The sequence below is a fragment of the Homo sapiens genome, chromosome 22 (assembly GCF_000001405.40).
Source record: "Homo sapiens chromosome 22, GRCh38.p14 Primary Assembly".
Taxonomy (NCBI): domain Eukaryota; kingdom Metazoa; phylum Chordata; class Mammalia; order Primates; family Hominidae; genus Homo; species Homo sapiens.
Genome location: NC_000022.11, coordinates 40564751 through 40585887, shown reverse-complemented (window position 1 = coordinate 40585887; position 21137 = coordinate 40564751). Strand labels below are relative to the sequence as shown.

General features: G+C 40.7%; 1 protein-coding gene and 1 pseudogene across 3 annotated transcripts in view; one reads left to right on the top strand and one right to left on the bottom strand.

Annotated features, from left to right (window-relative positions):
* The window catches only part of MRTFA (myocardin related transcription factor A), a 226431-nt gene that overhangs the window by 50832 nt on the left and 154462 nt on the right, over positions 1–21137 (top strand). The window lies entirely within an intron of this gene.
* COX6B1P3 (cytochrome c oxidase subunit 6B1 pseudogene 3) lies at positions 16207–16699 on the bottom strand (annotated as a pseudogene).

Here is a 21137-nt window from a genome sequence, read left to right as displayed (position 1 = left end):
TGTGTATTATGAATTGCAGTTAAAAATACTGTGTTAGGATATATGTTCATGAAATTTTAACTCAGGCTTTAAAATATATCCCAAGTCTTACTATATCTCTCTGCTCAACTATTGCCCTTGGCTAAGCCACCTTCATCTCTCTCCTAGACTTCTCCAGTAGCCTCCTAATTGCATTCTCTGCTAACTCTCATCCCCTGCCATCACCTAGCTCTGTTCTTTTAGCTGTCTAATTGATGCTTTTAAAATGTTATTCTGGTCATGTTGTCTTCACTATTACTTTCTTTCCCCCACTTTCATTTATTGTGTTAAAATACACATGAAATTTACCATCTTAATCATTTTAAGTATATAGTTCAGTGGTATTATATACATTCATAATGTTATGCAACTGTCATCACCATCCATCTCCAGAACTCTTTTCAGCTTGTGAAACGGAAACTCTACACCCATTAAACAAATAAGTCCCTATTCCCTCCTCCTCCTTCCCCCTGGAAACTACCCTTCTACTTTGTGTCTATGATTTTGACCTCTCTAGGTACCTCATATAAGTGGAATCATACAGCATATATAACTTTTTGTTATAAATTTAGCCTATGTGATTTTTAAAAAAGTTTATATAATGTTTTACATACAAGTTAAAAATTAAAGTAGTAATCATCGACCTCAGACATCTAGAACAAGTTACACCATGGAGCCTTCCTGCTCAGCAGCATTGAGGCCTGGACTGCCTTGTTTCCTCTTCCCTTCAGATCGGCAGAAGTGATGACTTCTCTGGACTTGTAATATTTTTGTTCTTTGGTAAGTGAATATGAGGAGAGACTTGACTTTTTTGTTTTCTTTTTGAGACCGAGTCTTGTTCTTTTGCCTAGGCTGGAAGTGCAGTGGTGCGATCTTGGCTCACTGCAACCTCCACCTCCCAGGTTCAAGCGATCCTACCACCGCAGACTCTCAGGTAGCTGGGACTACAGGCGTGCGCCACCACGCCCAGCTAATTTTTTGTATTTTTAGTAGAGATGGGGTTTCACTATGTTGGCTAGGCCGGTCCTAAACTCCTGACCTCAAGTGATCCACCCCCCTCAGCCTCCCAAAGTGCTGGGATTAAGGCTTGAGCCACTGTGCCCAGCTCAAGAGACTTGGCTTTTTTTTTTTTTTTTTTTGAGACAGAGTCTCACTCTTGTTGCCCAGGTTGGAGTGCAATGGTGCGATTTTGGCTCACCACAACCTCTGCCTCCTGGGTGATTCTCCTGCTACGGTCTCCCGAGTAGCTGGGATTACAGGCATGTGCCACCACACCCGGCTAATTTTGCATTTTTAGTAGAGACAGGTTTTCTCCATGTTGGTCAAGCTGGTCTCAAACTCCCAACCTCAGGTGATCCTCCTGCCTCAGCCTCCCAAAGTGCTGGGATTATAGGCGCAAGCCACCACGCCTGCCTGAGACTTAGCATTTTGAAAGACAAGATAACGTGCTGAGCCAGACAGCTCAGAATCCTCCGCATCTATTTTATTATTGGCTTTTGGAAAAGGCACTATGGTTGTATGTATGGAAAGGCTGACTTGGGAGTCATGATGTCTGGGTTTTCCTGGCTTTGCCACTTACTTATTTGGAGACCTTGGGCAAATTGCTTACAACCCTTCTGAGCTTTAGTTTCTTAGCATCGGAAACCATTGGACACTTTAGATTTCTTCAAATCCTAAAATTCAGAAATTCTATCATGTTTTTGACAAGGTTTTGAGACCTTACAAGAGTCTGTTTTTCTGTTCTGCCATCCTGATTTTTTTCCCATCTACTGTAATCTGAATGCTTAGAAGAAGGACAGTAAATTTTAATCTGTCACACTCGATTATTGTGATGAAATAATCCCAGAATTGTGATTATAAAATAGTCTGGACATACAAAGTACTATGCAGATGACAAATACTATATATACCACATGGGGATGAAAACTGGAGATGAGCACCTCGTCCTGTGCACTTTCTGTGAACTGCTCTGTGCTTATGATCTTATGATCCACCTAGAGTAGTGGTCTCCAACATTTTTGGCACCAGGGACCAGTTTCGTGGAAGAAAGTTTTTCCATGGACTGAGGCAGGGGGGCAAGGTTTTGGGATGAAGCTCTTCCACCTCAGATCATCAGGCATTAGATTCTCATAAGAAAGGTGCAACCTAGATCCCTTGTATGTGTATTTTACAGTAGGGCTTGTGCTCCTGTGAGAATCTAATGCTGCCTATGAGAATCTAATGCCACTGCTGATCTGACAGGAGGCAGAGCTCAGGCCGTAATAGTTGCTCCCCACTACTCAGTCCTGCTGTGTGGCCTGGTTCCTAACAGGCCATGGACTGGGGGTTGGGAACCCCTGACCTAGAGAGTCTTTTGATTCTGCTTTACTGTGCTTTCCTTGAATTGCAAGTCTGATTACTTGCAACATTCTCTTTGTATTATGTTTTGTGGCTTGAGTGTGCCTAATCCAGCCAGAGGTAAAGCTGGGGAATTGTCCTCTTCTTTGGTCTTGAGGCACTTCTGCAGGAAAATTTAGCTTTAGAAAAGATAAGGTTACCAAAGTTCTGACTGCCTAGTTTGTGAGCTGGGCCCCTAGTGTCATCATAGGGAGCTATGGTTTCATTATTACACATTTTGTTTTTCACTAAATATCATAGTTTTTTTCTCTGAAATGCTAATGAGCTGTCATGTGGCTATATTTGCCTTCAAGTTACTGGGAGGATTGATAGTGTCTGTTACAGGCAAAACAAAGCTCTGTTTTTTTTAATCAGGGAAGAATATTAGTAATAGAGCTCTTGTGTAGCTCTCAGGCTTTTCAGGCTCTTTCATAGCTCCATTTGTTAAAGACTTTTTACTTTATTTTGCCTCATTTGGCAAAAGACATGGATGTGCTCTAAATCTATTAGCTGCTTCACTCCAGTGAGACTCTTAGCATTGCAGTACCTGAGGGCACTGTTCAGCTCACCCCTGTGTACTCCTGGCCAGATTGCCATCAGCCTTTTTTTCATACAGAAAGAACCATAATGTGCATACTCTGTTTCTATAACATAATGAACTGAGTTCTGGGCAACTTTAATTGTAACCTTAAAGGAGCTAATGGTATTCATATGTTAGGTAGGTTTACCTTGATTTTTGAACAAACAGTGCAGTTTCCCAGGGAATCAAAGTTAGACTGCTTTACATTGTAGAGAAGGGTGTGTGTGTGTGTGTGTGTGTGTGTGTGTATGTGTGTATAAAGTTAAAACCTTCGTCTGTGGCTGTATGGAAGGAAGTAACCTTGGGAAGTTTTTTTTTAGACTATGAATAAGAGCAAATTGATGAATTTTTTTGGGAAGAGGATTAAAGCAACTCATAGGAATTCAGCACCCTGATGTATGTCATAGTGCTAAAATTTGCTTAGTGTTAAAGTCAGATAGCATAACGTAGAATTACCATTTGACTAGCAATTCTTCTCATCGTTATATACTCAAGAGAATTGAAAAAATATACCAACACAGAAACTTTTACATGAATATTCATAATAGCATTATTCATAATAGGGAAAACATGGAATAGTCCAAATGCCCATCAGCTGATGAGTGGATAAATAAAATGTGGTATATCTATACAGTTGAATATTATTTGGCAATGAAAAGGAATGGTGTACCAATACATGCTTCAACATGGATAAACCTTGAAAACATTATGCTAAGTGAAAGAAGCCTGTCATAAAGGACCACATACTGTATGATCCCATTTATGTGAAATGTCCAGAATAGGCAAATCCGTAGAGACAGAAAGTAGATTAGTAGTTGCTGGGGGCTGGAAGAGAGGGGAATGGAGAGTGACCACTTAATAGGAATGGGGTTTCTTTTTAAGGTAAAGAAGATGTATTAGCTAGTAGTAATGGTTCCACAGCTTTGCAAATTACACTAAAATCCACTGAGTTGAATACTTCGAAAGGGCGAATTTTATAGTATGTGAATTATATACCAGTAAAGCTATTATCTAACAAGTAAGACCAAATTATCTGTATAGGTAAGATACCTGTCTTTTTTGCTGAGTAGAGCTATATGAAATTCTGATACATGGGATGCCTTGATTAAAGATACTCCGTATCATCATTTATCTAAAGGCTTATGTCAACTTGGAAATCATAATTGCAAAGAAAACTTTTTTTTCCTATTGTAGGATTAAATGTTAGATGTAAAATTCCATAGTGTCTGACTCTGTGGATGCACAGAAGAAAGGAATAAGTTGTATATATATTATACATATTATAATCTAGAACTAAAAATATTACAGAAGGGAAAGCCCATATACCTAATAAAACTATAAAGTTGGCTCTTTCTCAAACAATGGGATACTATTTTACACACTTAAATTTTGCAAATATTATAAAATCTCATACTACCAATTGTTAACAAGGATATGGGGAAAGAGAAACCCTAATACACTGCTGATGGGTGTGTAAATTGAGCTCTGTAGAAAGTTTTTGGCAAGATTTTGTGAAGGTGATGAATGTCCTATGAACCAGCAGTACAAAATATACATCTTGTATGTATTTTGCATAAATGGTGAACCTTCCATTTATGCAAAAGGAAACATGTACACGTGTTTTAATTTCATTTATATTTGTGATAGGAAAAAATTTGGAAGCTACAGAGAAATGGATAAGCGAGCAGTGGCATTTTAATGCAACCTATTGCTCTAGTACAGTCAGAATGGACAAATCAGGTCTACATGTGTCAATATAGATACATCCTGGAAGCATTATGTTGAAAAAAAAGAAAGCAAGTGGCTTGGCATGGTGGCTCATGCCTGTAATCCAGCACTGAGGCTGAGGTGGGAAGATTGCTTGAGGCCAGGAGTTCAAGACCAGCCTGAGCAATGTTGTGAAAGCCTGTTTCTATTATTTAAAAAAAAAAAGAATAAAAATTAAAAGCAAGTTACAAGAAGTTAAATGTGATACCTGTTATGATCAGTTAAGACAAAATAAAAACATGCCTACAGTCCCAGCTACTTGGGAGGCTGAGATGAAAGGATGAGACGGGACAATTGCTTAAGCCCAGGAGTTCCAGTGTAGCCTGGACAGCATAGTGAGACCCCATCTTTTAAACAAACACATCAGTCAATCCAATACTGTGTTGTCTAAGGAAAACATATGTATGCTACAAAATTGTTTTAAGATGTGGATTAAAAGAAGCTATATTACCTTCAGCAGGATATTTACTTCTGAAGGAGAAGACAGGACAGTGGAATGAAGAGGGAAACTTTCAACTTACTTCCAATATTCTCTTTCTTAAAATCTGACGCAAATATGGCAGTATGTCATAAATTGTTATATTTGGGTTTATCATTTCATTTTTCTGTATTTTAAATAAACTTTCATAATTAAAAATTAGGAAAAGTCACCAGGCATAGTGGCTGACACCTGTAATCCCAACACTTTGAGAGATCAAGGTGGGAGGATCGATTGAGGCTAGGAGTTTGAGACCAGCTTGGGCAATGTAGCAAGACCTCATCTCTACAAAAAATACAAAAACTAGCTGGGTGTGGTGGTGCACGCCTGTAGTCCCAGCTACTCAGGAGGCTAAGGTGGGAGGAATGCTTGAGCCCAGGAGTTTGAGGCTGTAGTGAGCCATGATGATGCCAGTGCTTTACAGTCTGGGTGCCAGAATGAGACCCTGTCTCAAAAAAGGAAAAGTGAAAAAAAATCACATGGGTGAGTTTAAAAAAAATTATTGGGCTTACATATTTTTTTTACATGTTTCTATATTTGCTGTCCTAAAAATGATTCATCCTAATAGTCATTAATGTTGGTTTTTGAAGAAGTACAATGAATGTGGTTCATATGTTGTGTTTTTATTATAAAATCACCACTTGTCCATATTTTATTTTTTCCTTGCTCGAAAAGTGCTTGATTAACACAGTAATGTTACACAGTAACACATGAATGAATTCTTACTAAAAGTGCATGGGTTTTTATGTTTTATAGTTAGGACTTTGGTTTCCTTCTATAACAGCATTTGTGTCTTTTTTTTTTTTTTGAGATGGAGTTTCGCTCTTGTTGCCCAGGCTGGAGTGCAATGGCGCCGTCTTGGCTCACTGCAACCTCCACCTCCCAGGTTCAAGAGATTCTCCTGTCTCAGCCTCCCAAGTAGCTGGGATTATAGGCGCCTGCCACCATGCCCGGCTAATTTTTGTATTTTTAGTAGAGACGGGGTTTCACCATGTTGGCCAGGATGGTCTTGAACTCCTGACCTCAGGTGATCCACCCACCTTGGCCTCCTAAAGTGTTGGGATTACAGGGGTGAGCCACCACGCCTGGCCAGCATTTGTGTCTTTATTGGTTGTGTGAGAATACTGCTTGCTAAGCATTATACTGCCCTCTTTCAGATGTTCTTTATACATACTTTGATTCTGAGGAAGGCTGTAAACTAGTATGATACTGGCAGGCACTTACCACATTGTTGGATGCCTTAAAAGTTTATTGTTATGAATATTATTATTTTTAATAAATGTTTACTGTGTATAATAAGAAAGTGTAAATTACTAGATGGAAGTATGCTTTTGACAAGCTTCTTGGAGACAGGGTTTTTGGAACTGAAGAATGGAGTGAGGGATAGATTATGACAATTATTATGGCTATTCATCTTAAATCTTAAGAGAATTAGCACAAGATATGCATGCCTTCACAAGACGTGGAAATTCCTTAGCATTCATCTTTAAATTAGCAGACTTGGCTATGGGTATTTTCCCTGTTAACATTAGTTTCCTTTCTGCCATTCTTCTTCTTTTTAGAGTTGGAGTCTCACTCTGTTACCCATGCTGGAATGCAGTGGCATGATCACAGCTCACCACAGTCTTGAGCTCCTGGGCTCAAACTGTCCTTCCACCCCAGCCTCCCAAGTAGCTGAGATTATGGGCATGCACCACCACACTTGGCTGCTTTTTATTTATTTTGTTTTTTATTATTTTAGTTTTTTTGAGACAGGGTCTCACTCTCACCCAGACTGAAGTTCAGTGGCACAATCTTGGCTCACTGCAGCCTTGACTTCCTGGGCTCAAGTGATCGTCCCATCTCAGCCTCTCTAGTAGCTGGGACCACAGGTGTGTGCCACCACACCTAGCTAATTTTTGCATTTTTTTTGGTAGAGCTGGTGTTTCACCATGTTGCCCATGTTTCTCGAACTCCTAGGCCCAAGCAATCCGTTTGCCTCAGCCTCCCAAAGTGTTAGGATTACAGGTGTGACCCACAGTGCCTGGCCTCAACTCGCTACTTTTCTAAAAAAAAATTTTGAGAGAATGGAGTGGGGTCTCACTACATTGCCCATGCTGGTCTTGAACTCCTGGCCTCAAGTGATCCTTCTGCCTTGGCCTCCTGAGTCGATGAGATTATAGGTCTGAGCCACTGCGCCTGGCCCTTCTGTCATTCTTAGAGGAAAGGATGTTACATACCATCTCTTCTGTTTAGTATAGATTAATGTTCTCTTCTTGGTTTCATTTTCTTTTTTCCTCCAAGAAGTTACTGAGTACTGAGTTTTTTTATATTTTAGATTGAGTTTTCAAGTTTGACTTTCCTCCAGAGCAGTGTTTTTTGAACTGCGGTATGTGGGTGGGAGTGAGTAGTGTTATTGAAAAGATCATGAATTCTGGCCAAGCCTGGTGGCTCACACCTGTAATCCCAGCACTCTGGGAGGCCAAGGTGGGTGGATCACTTGAGGTCAGGAGTTCGAGACCAGCCTGGCCCACATGGTGAAACTCCGTCTCTACTAAAAATACAAAAATTAGCCAGGCATGGTGGCACGTGTCTGTAATCTCAGCTACTTGGGAGGCTGAGGCAGGAGAATTGCTTGAACCCAGGAGGTGGAGGTTGCAGTGAGTCAAGATTGCACCACTGCACTGCAGCCTGGGTGACGAAGCAAGACTCTGTCTCGGGGGAAAAAAAGATCATGAATTCTCAGGAGTCTTACCAGACAGTGGTTTAAAAAGATCAGATGTAGGCCGGGCGTGGTGGCTCACACCTATAATCCCAGCACTTTGGGAGGCTGAGGCTGGCGAATCACCTGAGGTCAGGAGTTTGAGACCAGCCTGACCAACATGGAGAAACCCCATCTCTACTAAAAATACAAAATTAGCCGGGCATGGTGGTGTATGCCTGTAATCCCAGCTACTCGGGAGGCTGAGGCAGGAGAGTCGCTTGAACCTTGGGAGGCAGAGGTTGCGGTGATCGCACCATTGCACTCCAGCCTGGGCAATAAGAGGGAAACTCTGTCTCAAAAAAAAAAAAAAAAAAAATCAGATGTAGATTGAATAGGGGTGTTTTTCTCTGTGTCTGCCCTTTCCTTGTACCTACCTTGTGAAGGCATGTCAGAGATGGGTAGTGCCCCAGAGACGTTTAGAAGTGGTCACATAAACATGCCATGTTTGAAGTGAAAATGGTGGTTTATTTTATGTATTTATCTTGTTACATTTGATTATTATCAAGTAAAATGGTTAATGTCTATTATGTACATAACATCCTTTAAAGTTGTGCTTTCTCTCATTCCAAAATGGAGTCTTTCAAGTTGGAAATACACTCATATCAGGAATATTTGGGATTCTGAGCTGTAGTTTTCTGTTCAATCTCATTATAGTCTTTTTTTTTTAATTTTTTTTTTTTTTTTTTTTTTAGACAAGGGTCTTACTCTGTTACTCAGGCAGGAGTGCATGAGTGCAGTGCAGTGTCACTATCATGGCTCACTGCAGCCTCGACCTCCCAGGCTCAAGTGATCTTTCCACCTCAGCAACCCAAGTAACTGGGACCACAGGTGCTCACCACAATGCCTGGCTAATTTTTAAATTTTTTGTGGAGATGAGGTCTCCCCATGTTGCCCAGGCTGGTCTCAAACTCCTGGGCTCAAGCTATCCTCCCACCTCAGCCTCCCAAAGTGCAAAGGGCTGGGATTACAGGCGTGAGCCACTGCCTCCAGTTAATTTTGAAAATTTTATAGAGATGAGTGTCTCACTATGTTGTTCAGGCTGGTTATGAAGTCCTGGGCTCAGGCCATCATTCTGCCTTGGCCTTTCAAAGTGTTGGGATTACAGGTGTGAGCCACCATGCCCGGCCTCATTATGATCTTAATGATGACAGAAAACAAACTACTTTAGGTATACATTATATTGGAGGTTTTTCCTACTAGCTGTTTTGTATTTTTAAAGATACACTTCACATATTGAAGATAGATATCTGTTGGTGTAGAAAGTTTTTGTATTTTCCCTAGTCCATTTTTGGGACAATTTGAAGTTTAAGCCAGAGTCTGAACTTGGAAACATAATTTCGCTTCCTAAAGGGGTAATCTAAGGAATTCCAGACTTATGCCACGATTTAGAATCCCTTGCATTATCCCTTTAAAAGGTGGGAAAAGTAAATTTATGGTGTAAATTGAACAATTTAGGGAGATGCTAGGATTATCAGCATTCACTTAAAAGTTACTGAGTTATTATCAGCATTCACCTAAACGTTACTGAGATGAATAACTTAAAATAATTTCATTCATATACTGAGATGAATAACTTAAAAATAATTACATCTTTAGGCTGGGTGCGGTAGCTCATGCCTGTAATCCCAGCACTTTGGGAGGCCAAGGCAGGTGGATCACCTGAGGTCAGGAGTTTGAGACCAGCCTGGCCAACATGGCAAAACCCCGTCTGTACTAAAAATAAAAAAAAATTAGCTGAGCGTGGTGGCGCGCACCTGTAATCCCAGCTACTTGGGAGGCTGAGGCAGGAGAATTGCTTGAACCCACGGGGTGGAGGTTGCAGTGAGCCGAGATCATGCCACTGTACTCCAGCCTGGGAGACAGAACAAGACTCCGTCTCAAAAAAAAAAAAAAAAAAGAAATTTACATCTATACATATGGTGCCAAGATGCTATGTAAGAATACTACAAAAATATCAGTTGAATATATTTAAATCAGAAAAAAATGCTTAGTGTTTGTTGAGCTCTTACTGTCTTAGCATTGTTAGTGCTTCTCATGTAGTATGTCACTCAGTCCTCACAGTTAACTTGTGAGAGTTGTTGTTATACTCATCGGGATAAATATTAGGTTGGCAAAAAAATAATTGCAGTTTTGCTATTGAAAGTAAAAAACCACAATTACTTTTGCACCAACCTAATAACCTATGGTCATATACCCTGGTAGTAAGTGGTGGTGTTGGCTTGTAAAATCAGATGCTTTGACTAAAATAATGGTGCTGTTCATCACCATATTGGCTGAAGAAAAGTCACCATGGATTGTTTATATCACCTAAATTTCAAATAGTTGAGCTATGGAGATATACAGGTTGTGAAAGCCTTTTGATTCAAAGATGTGGAACAGTGTGTCTTTTAACATATACCATTTCACTTTTTACTGCTACTCACCTGGAAAGCAAATAATTTTTTAAATATTTGACTCATTTTATAAAAGATTTTTTTAATTTAAAATTTAATCTGAGTATAATATTTTTCTGAGAAATGCCTGAGCATATCTCAATATTTTATATCTAAATCTAGCATTTATATTTTATCTTAGAACTTTGACTTTTGTAGATCTCTGTGAGGTACTAATTAAATTCTACAAATATTTACTGAGCGTTTGAGTATCTTCTCTATGCAAGGGGCTGAACGAGCTGGTTGAGAACAAAACAGGGAAAGGAGTTAACATCTATTGAACACCTGTTAAATTTTAGATCTTCATCTCATTTAATCTGTATAGTAAATTTGTTAGTAGGTACGATCCTCATTTTATACCACAGGAAACTTAGGCATGGAGGAGTTAAGCTCTCATCACCTAAATGGCAGTTCTGGAATTTGAACCTAAGCCCATGCTACTTTTCTAACACACAATACTGCCTCGTGTGTAAATATAAATTGGATTCCTATTTCTAGCTTATAGTCTAGTCCAGGAGTTCACAAAGTGGAGTCTGCAGATGGACTGCTGGTGGTCCCTGATTTCACTTTTGGTTATCACAAGTTCACAACTGTAGTCGTTCATCAGTATTCATGGAGGATTGGTTCCAGTACCCCTGCTGTGGGTACCAAAATCCATGGAGCTGAAGTCCCTTATATAAAAAGGTGTAGTATTTGCATATAATTTACATCCTCCCATATACTTCACATCATCTCTAGATTATTTATAATAACTAATACAAGCCAGGCATGGTGGCTAACATCTATAATCCCAGCACTTTGGGAGGCTGAGGCGGGTGAATCTCTTGAGGCCAGGTGTTGGAGACCAGCCTGGACAACATGTGAAACCCCGTCTCTACCAAAAAGTACAAAAATCAGCCGGCGTGGTGGTGCATGCCTGTACTCCCAGCTACTCAGGAGGCTGAGGCACGAGAATAGCTTGAACCCAGGAGGCAGAGGTTGCAGTGAGCCGAGATCACGCCACTGCACTCCAGCCTGGGTGACAGAGCAAGGCTCCATCTCAAAAAAAAAAAATAATAATAATAATAACTAATGCAGTGTAATGCTGTAGTTGTTATACTGTATTGTTTGGGGAATAATGGTAAGAACAGAAAGTCTGTAAATGTTCAGTATAGATGCAGCCATTCACTTTTTTCCATGAATATTTTCAATCCGTGGTTGGTTGAATACACAGAAGCAGAACCAATGGATACAGAGGGCTAACTGTGTTTTTATGATAATGTTAAAATGTTACTGCTTTTTTCACTGATGATGGCAAAAGCAATGACTGATAAGACTGCTGGCACCTTAGCACAAGTTGAGAGAGTGGCACCAGACTGTATCATGGTCATTGTTTGTTTTTACCACCATGCACTCACAGGAAAAGAAAAAGAATAGTTTAACTTACAAATGTCCCTGATGCAGAGACCTGTCATAGTGGCTTATCCCTGTAATCCCAGGATTTTGGGAGGCCAAGGCAGGAGGATTGTTTGAGCCCATGAATTCGAGACCAGCCTGGGCAACATAGTGAGATTCACATCTCTATAAAAAAAATAAAAATATCCTTGATGCAGTAGTAAAAATATTATTATTTTTAAATAGGTCTCAAACTCCTGGCTTCAAGTGATCCACCTGCCTCAGCCTCCCAAAGTTCTGGGATTACAGGCATGAGCCATCACACCCAGCGAAAATATTTATTAAATCTGAATCTTCTACTGAATATCTTTTTTTTTTTTAAAGACACAGGGCCTCTCTATGTTACCCAGTCTGGTCTTGAATTCCTGGGCTCAAATGATTCTCCTGCCTTGGCCTCCCAAAGTTCTGGAATTACAGGTATGGGATTCTGTGCCTGGCTCTCGTTCTTAAAAGTTGAGATATAAATCACATATTATAAAATTCACCTTTCAGAAGTACATAATTCAGCCAGGCACGGTGGTTCATGCCTGTAATCCCATCACTTTGGGAGGCTAAGGCAGGCAGATCACTCAAGGTCAGGAGTTTGAGACCAGCCTGGCCAACATGGTAAAACCCTGTCTCTACTAAAAATACAAAAATTAGCCAGGTGTGGTGGCATATACCTGTAGTCCCAGCTACTTGGGAGGCTGAGGCAGGAGAATTGCTTGAACCTGGGAGGCAGAGGTTGCAGTGAGCTGAGATAGTGCCACTGCACTCCAGCCTGGGTGACAGAGCAAGATTCAGTCTCAAAAAGCAAAGCAAAACAAAAAAAAGACCAAAAATACAATTCAGTGGTTTCCAGTATTTTCGCAAGATTGTGCAACTGCCACCACTGTCCAATTCCAGAACATTTTCATCATCCCAAAAAGAAACTTCATACTCCTTCCCTCTCCCTTTTCTCTCTCTCCCTAACACCAGGTAACCACTAATCTACTTTCTATCTCTGTGGATTTACCCATTCTGGACGTTTCATATAAATTGGATAATACAATATGTGGTCTTTTGTGTCTGGCTTCTTTCAGTTAGCATAGTGCTTTCAGGGCTCATCCATGTTATAGCAAATTGTTATGGTTTGGCTGTGTCGCCACCCAAGTCTCATCTTGAATTGTAACTCCTACAATTCTCACATGTTGTGGGAGGAACCCGGTGGGAAGTGATTGAATTACAGGGGTGGCGGGTCTTTCCTGTGCTATTCTCATGATAATGAATGAGTCTCATGAGAGCTGATGGTTTTAGAAACGGGAGTTTCCCTGCACAAGCTCTCTCTTTGCCTGCTGCCATCCATGTAAGACGCGACTTGCTTCTCGTTGCCTTCTGCTGTGATTGTGAGGTTTCCCTAGCAATGTGGAACTGTAAGTCCGTTAAACCTCTTTTCTTCCCAGTCTCAGGTATGTCTTTATCAGCAGCACGAAAATGGAGTAATACGCAAGTGTAACTACTTCATTTCCTTTTTTAAAAAAACAGCTTTACTGAGATAAAATTCACAGACTACACAGTTAATCCATTTCAGGTGTATGGATTTTTTTTTTTTTTAAGAGATAGGGTTTCATTGTGTTGCCCAGGCTGGATTACAGTGGCTCTTCATAGGCATGATTATAGCAAACTGTAGCCTTGAACTCCTGAGCTCTCTTGATTCTCAGACCTCAACCTTTCAAGTACCTGGGACTATAGATGTGCACCTCTGCACCTGGCAAAGTGTACAATTTGATGGTTTTTAGTATATTCACATATACAACCATTGCCACAGTTTATTTTAGAACATTTTTATCACCTCAAAGAGAACCTGTACCATTTAACTTTTACCCTGCTATCTCCCTGTTCCCCCCAAACCAAAGAACTACTAATCTACTTTATTTCTCTATATGTGTCCCAATTCTAGACTTTATATGAATGGGATAATACGTGAACTCCAGTTTGTCCGCATCTTCACCATCACTTGTTATAATCTGACTTTTTGGTTTTACCAATCCTACTGGGTGTGAAGTGCTATGTCACTGTGTTTTGTTTTTTTTTTCATTATTTCCTAATGACTAGTGATGTTGAGCATTTTTTGAAGTGCTTATTGTCCCTCTTCTTTTTTTTTTTTTTTTTTTTTTTTTGACAGAGTCTTGCTCTGTCGCCCTGGCTGGAGTGCAGTGGCGTGATCTCGGCTCACTGCAAGCTCCGCCTCCCAGGTTCACACCATTCTTCTGCCTCAGCCTCCTGAGTAGCTGGGACTACAGGCACCTGCCACCATGCCCGGCTGCTTTTTTTTTTTGGTCTTGTTAGTAGAGACGGGGTTTCATCATGTTAGTCAGGATGGTCTCAATCTCCTGGTCTCGTGATCGACTTACCTCGGCCTCTCAAAGTGCCGGGATTATATTGTCTGTTTTTATATTTTCTTTGGAGAAGTGTATGTTCAAATCCATTGCCCATTTTAAAATTTGGTTGCCTTATTGTGGTTGAATTGTAAGAGTTCTTTATATATTCTGGATATTAATCACTTATCAGTTGTATGATTTGTAAATACTTTTTCTCATCTGTGAGTTTTCTTTTTCACCTCTTGATATTATCCTTTGATGCACAAAACTTTAAAATTTTGACAGAAATATCTGGACCTCCTGTTTATCTAGTTTTTTCCTTTGGTTCCATGTACTTTGTTTTATTTAGGAAGCCGTTGCCTAATTGAAGGTCATGAAGATTATACCTGTATTTTCTTGTAAGAGTTTTACATTTTCATCTCTTACATTTAGATCGTTGATCCATTCTGAGATAATGTTTGTGTATGGTGTGAGGTAGGCAGTCTAACTTCATTCTTTTATTTTATTTTTTTTGAGAGAGGGTCTCACTCCTGTCGCCCATACTATGCAGTGGCACAATCAAGGCTTACTGCAACCTTGACCTTCCTGGGCTCAGGTGATCCTCCTGCCTCAACCTCCTGAGTAGCTGGGACTACAGGCGCACACCACCATGCCCAGCTAATTTTTTTTTTTTTTTTTTTTTTTTTTTTTTTTTGTAGAGACAGGGATTCACTATGTTGCCCAGGCTGGTTTCAAACTCCTGGGCTTAAGCAATCCACTCACATCGGCCTCCCAAAATGCTAGGATTACAGGTGTGAGCCACCACTCCTGGCTCCATGTTCTTTATTAGGATTATGTTCCATTATTTATGACCAAAGAAAGTAAAATAACACTGGCTTTAAAAATGATATAAGTCTATTTTTTGTCTTGTATAAAGAAGTCTAGAAATAGCCTAGGACTGCTTTGGTGCTCTGCAATATCAGAGAACTAGTTTTTTTCTGTATTTGTTGCCTTGCTATTCTCAACATGTGGCCTCTTCCTCGTAGTCTTAAGTTTGCTGCTTGTACTCCAACCATCTCATATACATTTCCAGCCAGGAGGAGGGAGAAGTGCCTAAAGAATAATGTACCCAATTCTTTTTTTTTTTTTTTTTTTTTTTTTTTTGAGACAGAGTCTCGCTCTGTCGCCTAGGCTGGAGTGCAGTGGCACGATCCCAGCTCACTGCAAGCTCCACCTCCTGGGTTCATGCCGTTCTCCTGCCTCAGCCTCCCGAGTAGCTGGGACTACAGGTGCTTGCCACCATGCCAGGCTAATTTTTTGTATTTTTTTAAGTAGAGACAGGGTTTCACTGTGTTGGCAAGGATGGTCTCGATCTCCTGACCTCGTGATCCACCCGCCTCGGCCTCCCAAAGTGCTGGGATTACAGGCATGAGCCACCGTGCCTGGCCCCCAGTTCTTAAAAGGACATTTCCTAGAAATCACACCTAATACTTTTATTCATGTCCTTTGGCTTGAACTAGTCACATGACCCCACTTAGCTGCAAGGGAGGCTGGAAAACATAGTCTTCCTTCTGATATGTATTTAGCTAAAACTTATGTATTCTTTTACTGGGAAGAAGGAGTGAGAGAGGATATTGGGCAACAACCTCCCAGGCCTGTCACAATGATCTAAGTGAGGTTCTTTTACTCCCTGCTGCTGCAGTTTTCTTCCCCGCCTCTCTCACTTTTCCAGTGAATTTTTATTATTAAGACATGATTCAGGGTCCCAGGGTAGGGATCACCATATACCCAGGTTCTTCTTTACCATCCTGGGAGAAGGACAGAGGTGGGGTGGAGCCAGTTCAGATCTTCCCAAGAAATGTGCCTTCTGCCCATGGTCATCCCAGGCTGAGGCCCAGGGTATAGGGCAGAGAGACTTGTACACATGCTGGTACCATTCACAAACAGAGACATCACCCCCTTGATGTATGTATGTATGTATGTATGTATGTATGTATGTATGTATGTATGTATGTATGTATGTATTAATTATGGAGTCTTGCCCTGTCACCCAGGCTGGACTGCAGTGGTGCAATCTCGGCTTACGGCAAACTCCATCTCTCAGTTTCAAGTGCTTCAGCCTCCTGAGTAGCTGAGATTACAGGCAGCTGCCATCGTGCCCAACTAATTTTTGTATTTTTAGTAGAGACAGGGTTTCATCATGTTGGCCAGGTTGGTCTCGAACTCCTGACCTTAAGTAATCCACCAGCTTTGGCCTCCCAAAGTACTGGGATTACAGGCGTGAGCCACTGCACCCGGCCATACATTACCTCCTTTAGCAGTCATTGCCTTCTTGAAGTGGTGGAGGTCCAGGTATTTCTGCCAGCCATTCCTGGTCTGGTTCTGGTTGGGGAAGCGCCTGTCAAAAGGGGCAGTCCTGTAGTTCTTGATTTTGGTCTTGATGTCTTTTGCCATGGTGCAGTTCTCAGCTCAATGGCTACTCTCTGCTGTCTTCTTTTTTCAGAGACAGGGTCTCAGGCTGGAGAGTAGTGGCATGATCATAGCTCACTGCAGCCTCAAACTCCTGAGCTCACATGATCCTTCTGCCTCAGTGTCCCTGGTGGGACTACTGGTGTGTACCATTGCACCCACCTTATTTTCTGCTTCTTATTGATAGTCTGGTATATAAAAAGGCTCATAATTCTCTTCCTATTGTATTATTTTTTTCATGTTATATGCGACATCTGAGTTATTACATTCAGGTGGTTCTTCTCTTTTAATATGGATCACTAGTATTCTTCCTTTCTCCTTGATTAATTTAGAACCTTTCTATTTTAAATAGGCTACCCATAAGGTATTTGAAGATTTTCATGCTGGTGTGCATTTACCTTTTCTTTTTTTGCTATCCACATCATGCTTGCTGCCTACATTAGATGCTTTCAAAATGTACAGCACTGACTGCTGACTAGTGCTGCTGTGTGTCTTAGCACTTTATAATTTACAGTAATTGCACTTAGATGTAGTTGTAATGTGTGAACTCCTGTAGTGATGTAGAGAACACTTTAGTTGTATTATTTACTTTGTTTGGAAAATGGATGTGTTTGCCTGTACTATGTGTTCCCTCATTGTTTTAAAGCTTTAAATATATAATTGTGCTGGGCTTAAAATGGTATTAAAATATCTGTTGCATTTTATTTGATCAAAAATTCTCAGCACCTTTTACAGAATATTAATTGGCTAAGAGTAATACTGTTTGAAGCAAGAGGCTTTGAAAGGAAGAATAATGAGCCATGACTAAGGAGCTGTTTTTATTTAAATTGTCAAGATTCGTTGTATTTCCAGAGGTTCTGCCTTGATCAAAGTCTTTAATAACCACAACTAAGTGAAAATGCATTTTTAACACAAACTCTGTACTGTATTCCATGAAGGTAACTTGAAGAGCCATTGCTTTTGTGTGGTAACTGATCTTACCAGAGTAGATTAGTTTAATTAATAAGCTAGTTTTTATAATTAAAGTGTAATTGGAAGAATAATTCATGAACATGCTGTTGATGGCCTGAGTGTTTTCACTGGTGCTACAGTGCTGTCATCAGTGTGTGCATTGTCCTGAGAGTTCCTCATTGTGGCTCTGGTAGGTGCTTAGAAGCTTTAGGCTTGACCTCTTGACCCATAGACACATTTCAACCTTGAATATACACTTTCCTCTGAGTGTGTGTTGCTGTGTTTGGATACTCTTACAAAATTATGACAGGTTCTTTTTTTATGGCAAGATATTTTATTTCCAGTATTTTAAAAATATTTGCTCAAGAATTTAGGAAAATATTCATGGTTCATTTTATAAAGTAGGAGCATATTCTTGATCTATCCGGAGAGGATGTCATTGAGAAACCTAAGGATATGAGGCTTCTGGCACTGGAAAATAGGGCTGTTCTTCAAATGCCCCATTGTCATGTGAAAACAAAGCACAATACTATAAATGTCTTCCTTTCCCCCCAAACTACTGCCTGTCTTTATGCTAGGTGAGGTTTGTCTCAACAAGTTTTTCATTCCAAAGTTAATATTTTCAAAAATAGTTTTTTTTATATTATTCATACCTGAACAGAATTATTATTGTAGATTTTCTGTGTGGTAGATTTTCTTACTGTGGCAGGTTTTCCGTGGCCTGGCAACATTTCAGGTTGTCTAGGCTGATTGCTGCATGGAGTTTTGATGTAAGAGTAGAATCGACTGAAGAATTCCTAACTTGAAAATTGTCTCATAACAGATTACATAATTTTGTAGGTGAATACACAAAATATGTGCAGATGATCATATTTAAATTTATTCAGGTCTCTTATACGTAGCGTGTGGACTTCTAAATATCCGTCACTCAGTCTCTTAGAGAAGAACTCTAGAAGACAAATAGAATTCCACCTTTAAAAATTGGAACACATTTGAACACCATAGAAAAAGGATTGAGAATCATAAGGAAAGCATACCTGTAGTGTTTGTGGGCATGAATAAAGTTCAAGGAATGTAATGAAGTCATCTTGTCAAAATAGTGCTTTAATTTTCAAGCAGCCTTTTTGGAGGTGGGGGAGGAGTTTAAGGCAAATTGTCAAATTTCTGTTAAATGTTTGCAAGAAAATATTACCTTGTAGTTAATGTCTCTACTTTTCAGAGTACCTTCTTATAAGACCCTTCATGATAGGACAGATAATAATAACAAATGTTTATTCAGAGCGACTTACTCAAGGTCACATCACCAAACTCAGTGATATATTAAGACACAGGTCAAAACAACATTATTACATTTTCATTAGGGGCCAGGCAGAATAGTAAATTATACCAAACTCAGAGTCAGGTGGCACGCTAAGGTGAACAGCTCCCTTGTCATTCTTTCTCTACACACCTGCCAAAATGATTATTTATTTATTTTTATTTATTTTTTGAGACGGAGTCTTGCTCTGTTGCCCAAGCGAGGGTGCAGTGGTGTGATGTCGGCTCACTGCAACCTCCGCCTCGCGGGTTCAAGTGATTCTCCTGCTTCAGCATCCCTAGTAGCTGGGATTGCAGGCACTCGCCACCATGCTCCGCTAATTGTTTGTATTTTTACTAGAGATGAGGTTTCAACATGTTGGCCAGGCTGGTCTCAAACTCCTGGCCTCAAGTGATCCATCAGCCTTGGGCCTCCCAAAGTGCTTGGATTACAGGCATGAGCCACCATGCCCAGCCCTCAAAATGATTATTTAAAAAGATAAATCAGCCAGGCGTGGTGGCTCACGCCTGTAATCCCAGCACTTTGGGAGGCTGAGGCGGGTGGATCACGAGGTCAGGAGTTCAGTACCAGTCTGGCCAAGATGGTGAAAGCCCGTCTCTACTAAAAATGCAAAAAAATTAGCCAGGTGTGGCGGTGGGCACCTGCAATCCCAGCTATTCAGGAGGCCGAGGCAGAGAATTGCTTGAACCCAAGAGGTGGAGGCTGCAGTAAGCCGAGATCACGCCACTGCACTCCAGCCTGGGCGACAGAGTGAGACTCTGTCTCAAAAAAAAAAAAAAATGATAAATCAGATCATATCACTCCATTGTGTAAAACCTCCCAGTGGCATCCAGTTGTTTATGTAATATACTTATGTCCATTCCTCTCGGGCCATGCCATTCATTTAGTTCCTTCAAGATACCAAGCTCATTCCTGCCTCATGGCTTTTTAACTTGCATATGCTGTTCCCTCTGCATGGCTGGCTGTTTCTTGTCAAGTTCAGACAGAGCCATAGAGGCATGAGGTCTGAAGCTTCACTGCCCAGGATCAAGTATTTAACCTCTCAGTGTCTCAGTTTCCTCAACTGTAAAAAATTATGGATAATTTAGGTAAATATACGTCTTAGTGTTGTGAAGATTGAATGCATACACATACAGTGCCTCATTTATAATAAGGGTTGGCTATACAAGTCTCTTTCGGATATCACTTCCTCAATGAGACCTCTTTTGGTCATTTAATCTAAATTAGCCACCTGGCCCCCAGGCACATAATGCTTATAGTTATCCAAAAACTTTTTATTGTATATTTATTTTCATTTTTATGTCTCTCCCACTATAATGTAGGCCCAAGAAAGCGAAGATATTTTCTGTCTGTTGTACTCCCAGTGCCTAAAACAGTGCCTCATCACTATGCATTTGTTGAGTGAATTAATGAAAGTCAGGTCTACCCCAGAAGGTCTTTTGTTTTTTTTTGAAGTGGGGATCGAGTCTCGCTCTGTTGCCCAGGCTGGAATGCAGTGGTGCGATCTTGGCTCACTGCAGTCTCTACCTCCTGGGCCCAAGTGATCTTCTCACCTCAGCCCCCGGAGTAACTGAGAGTACAGGTGTGCACAACCGTGCCCAGCTAATTTTTGTATTTTTAGTAGAGACGGAGTTTCACTGTATTGGCCAGGCTGGTCTTGAACTCCTGATCTCAAGTGGTCCTCCCGCCTTGGCCTCCCAAAGTCCTGGGATTGCAGGCATGCACCACTGCACCCAGCCTACCCCAGGAGGTCTTCATGAGTTCCATAAGACTGAAAGGCAATTTATGTTGTTTAGTTAAGGGAAGATGTTCACATGTATACCTAACACACATGGTAGGGGCTTGTTGGGAATGGTATAGAGAAGTAGTCAATAAAAAGGGGTTGAGCCATGGTATAAAATACATATTTTACTTTTTTTCTGTTTTCTTTTTTAAAATTTCTGTTTCTTCTAGCTGGTGAGTTCACGTCCCTATACATAAGCTCATGAGCTTACTTGTGTCTTTAAATCTGAGGACAGCTGATTGCCCCTCAGCATTATAAAGTTAGAACTTTGGCCAGGCAGGGTGGCTCATGCCTGTAATCCTAGCACTTTGGGAAGCCGAGGTGGGCGGATTGCCTGAGCTCGGGAGTTTGAGACCAGCCTGGCAACATGGTGAAATCCCGTGTCTACTAAAATACAAAAAATGAGCCGGGAATGGCGGCGTGTGCCTGTAGTCTCACCTATTCGGGAGGCTGAGGCAGGAGAAAGCTTG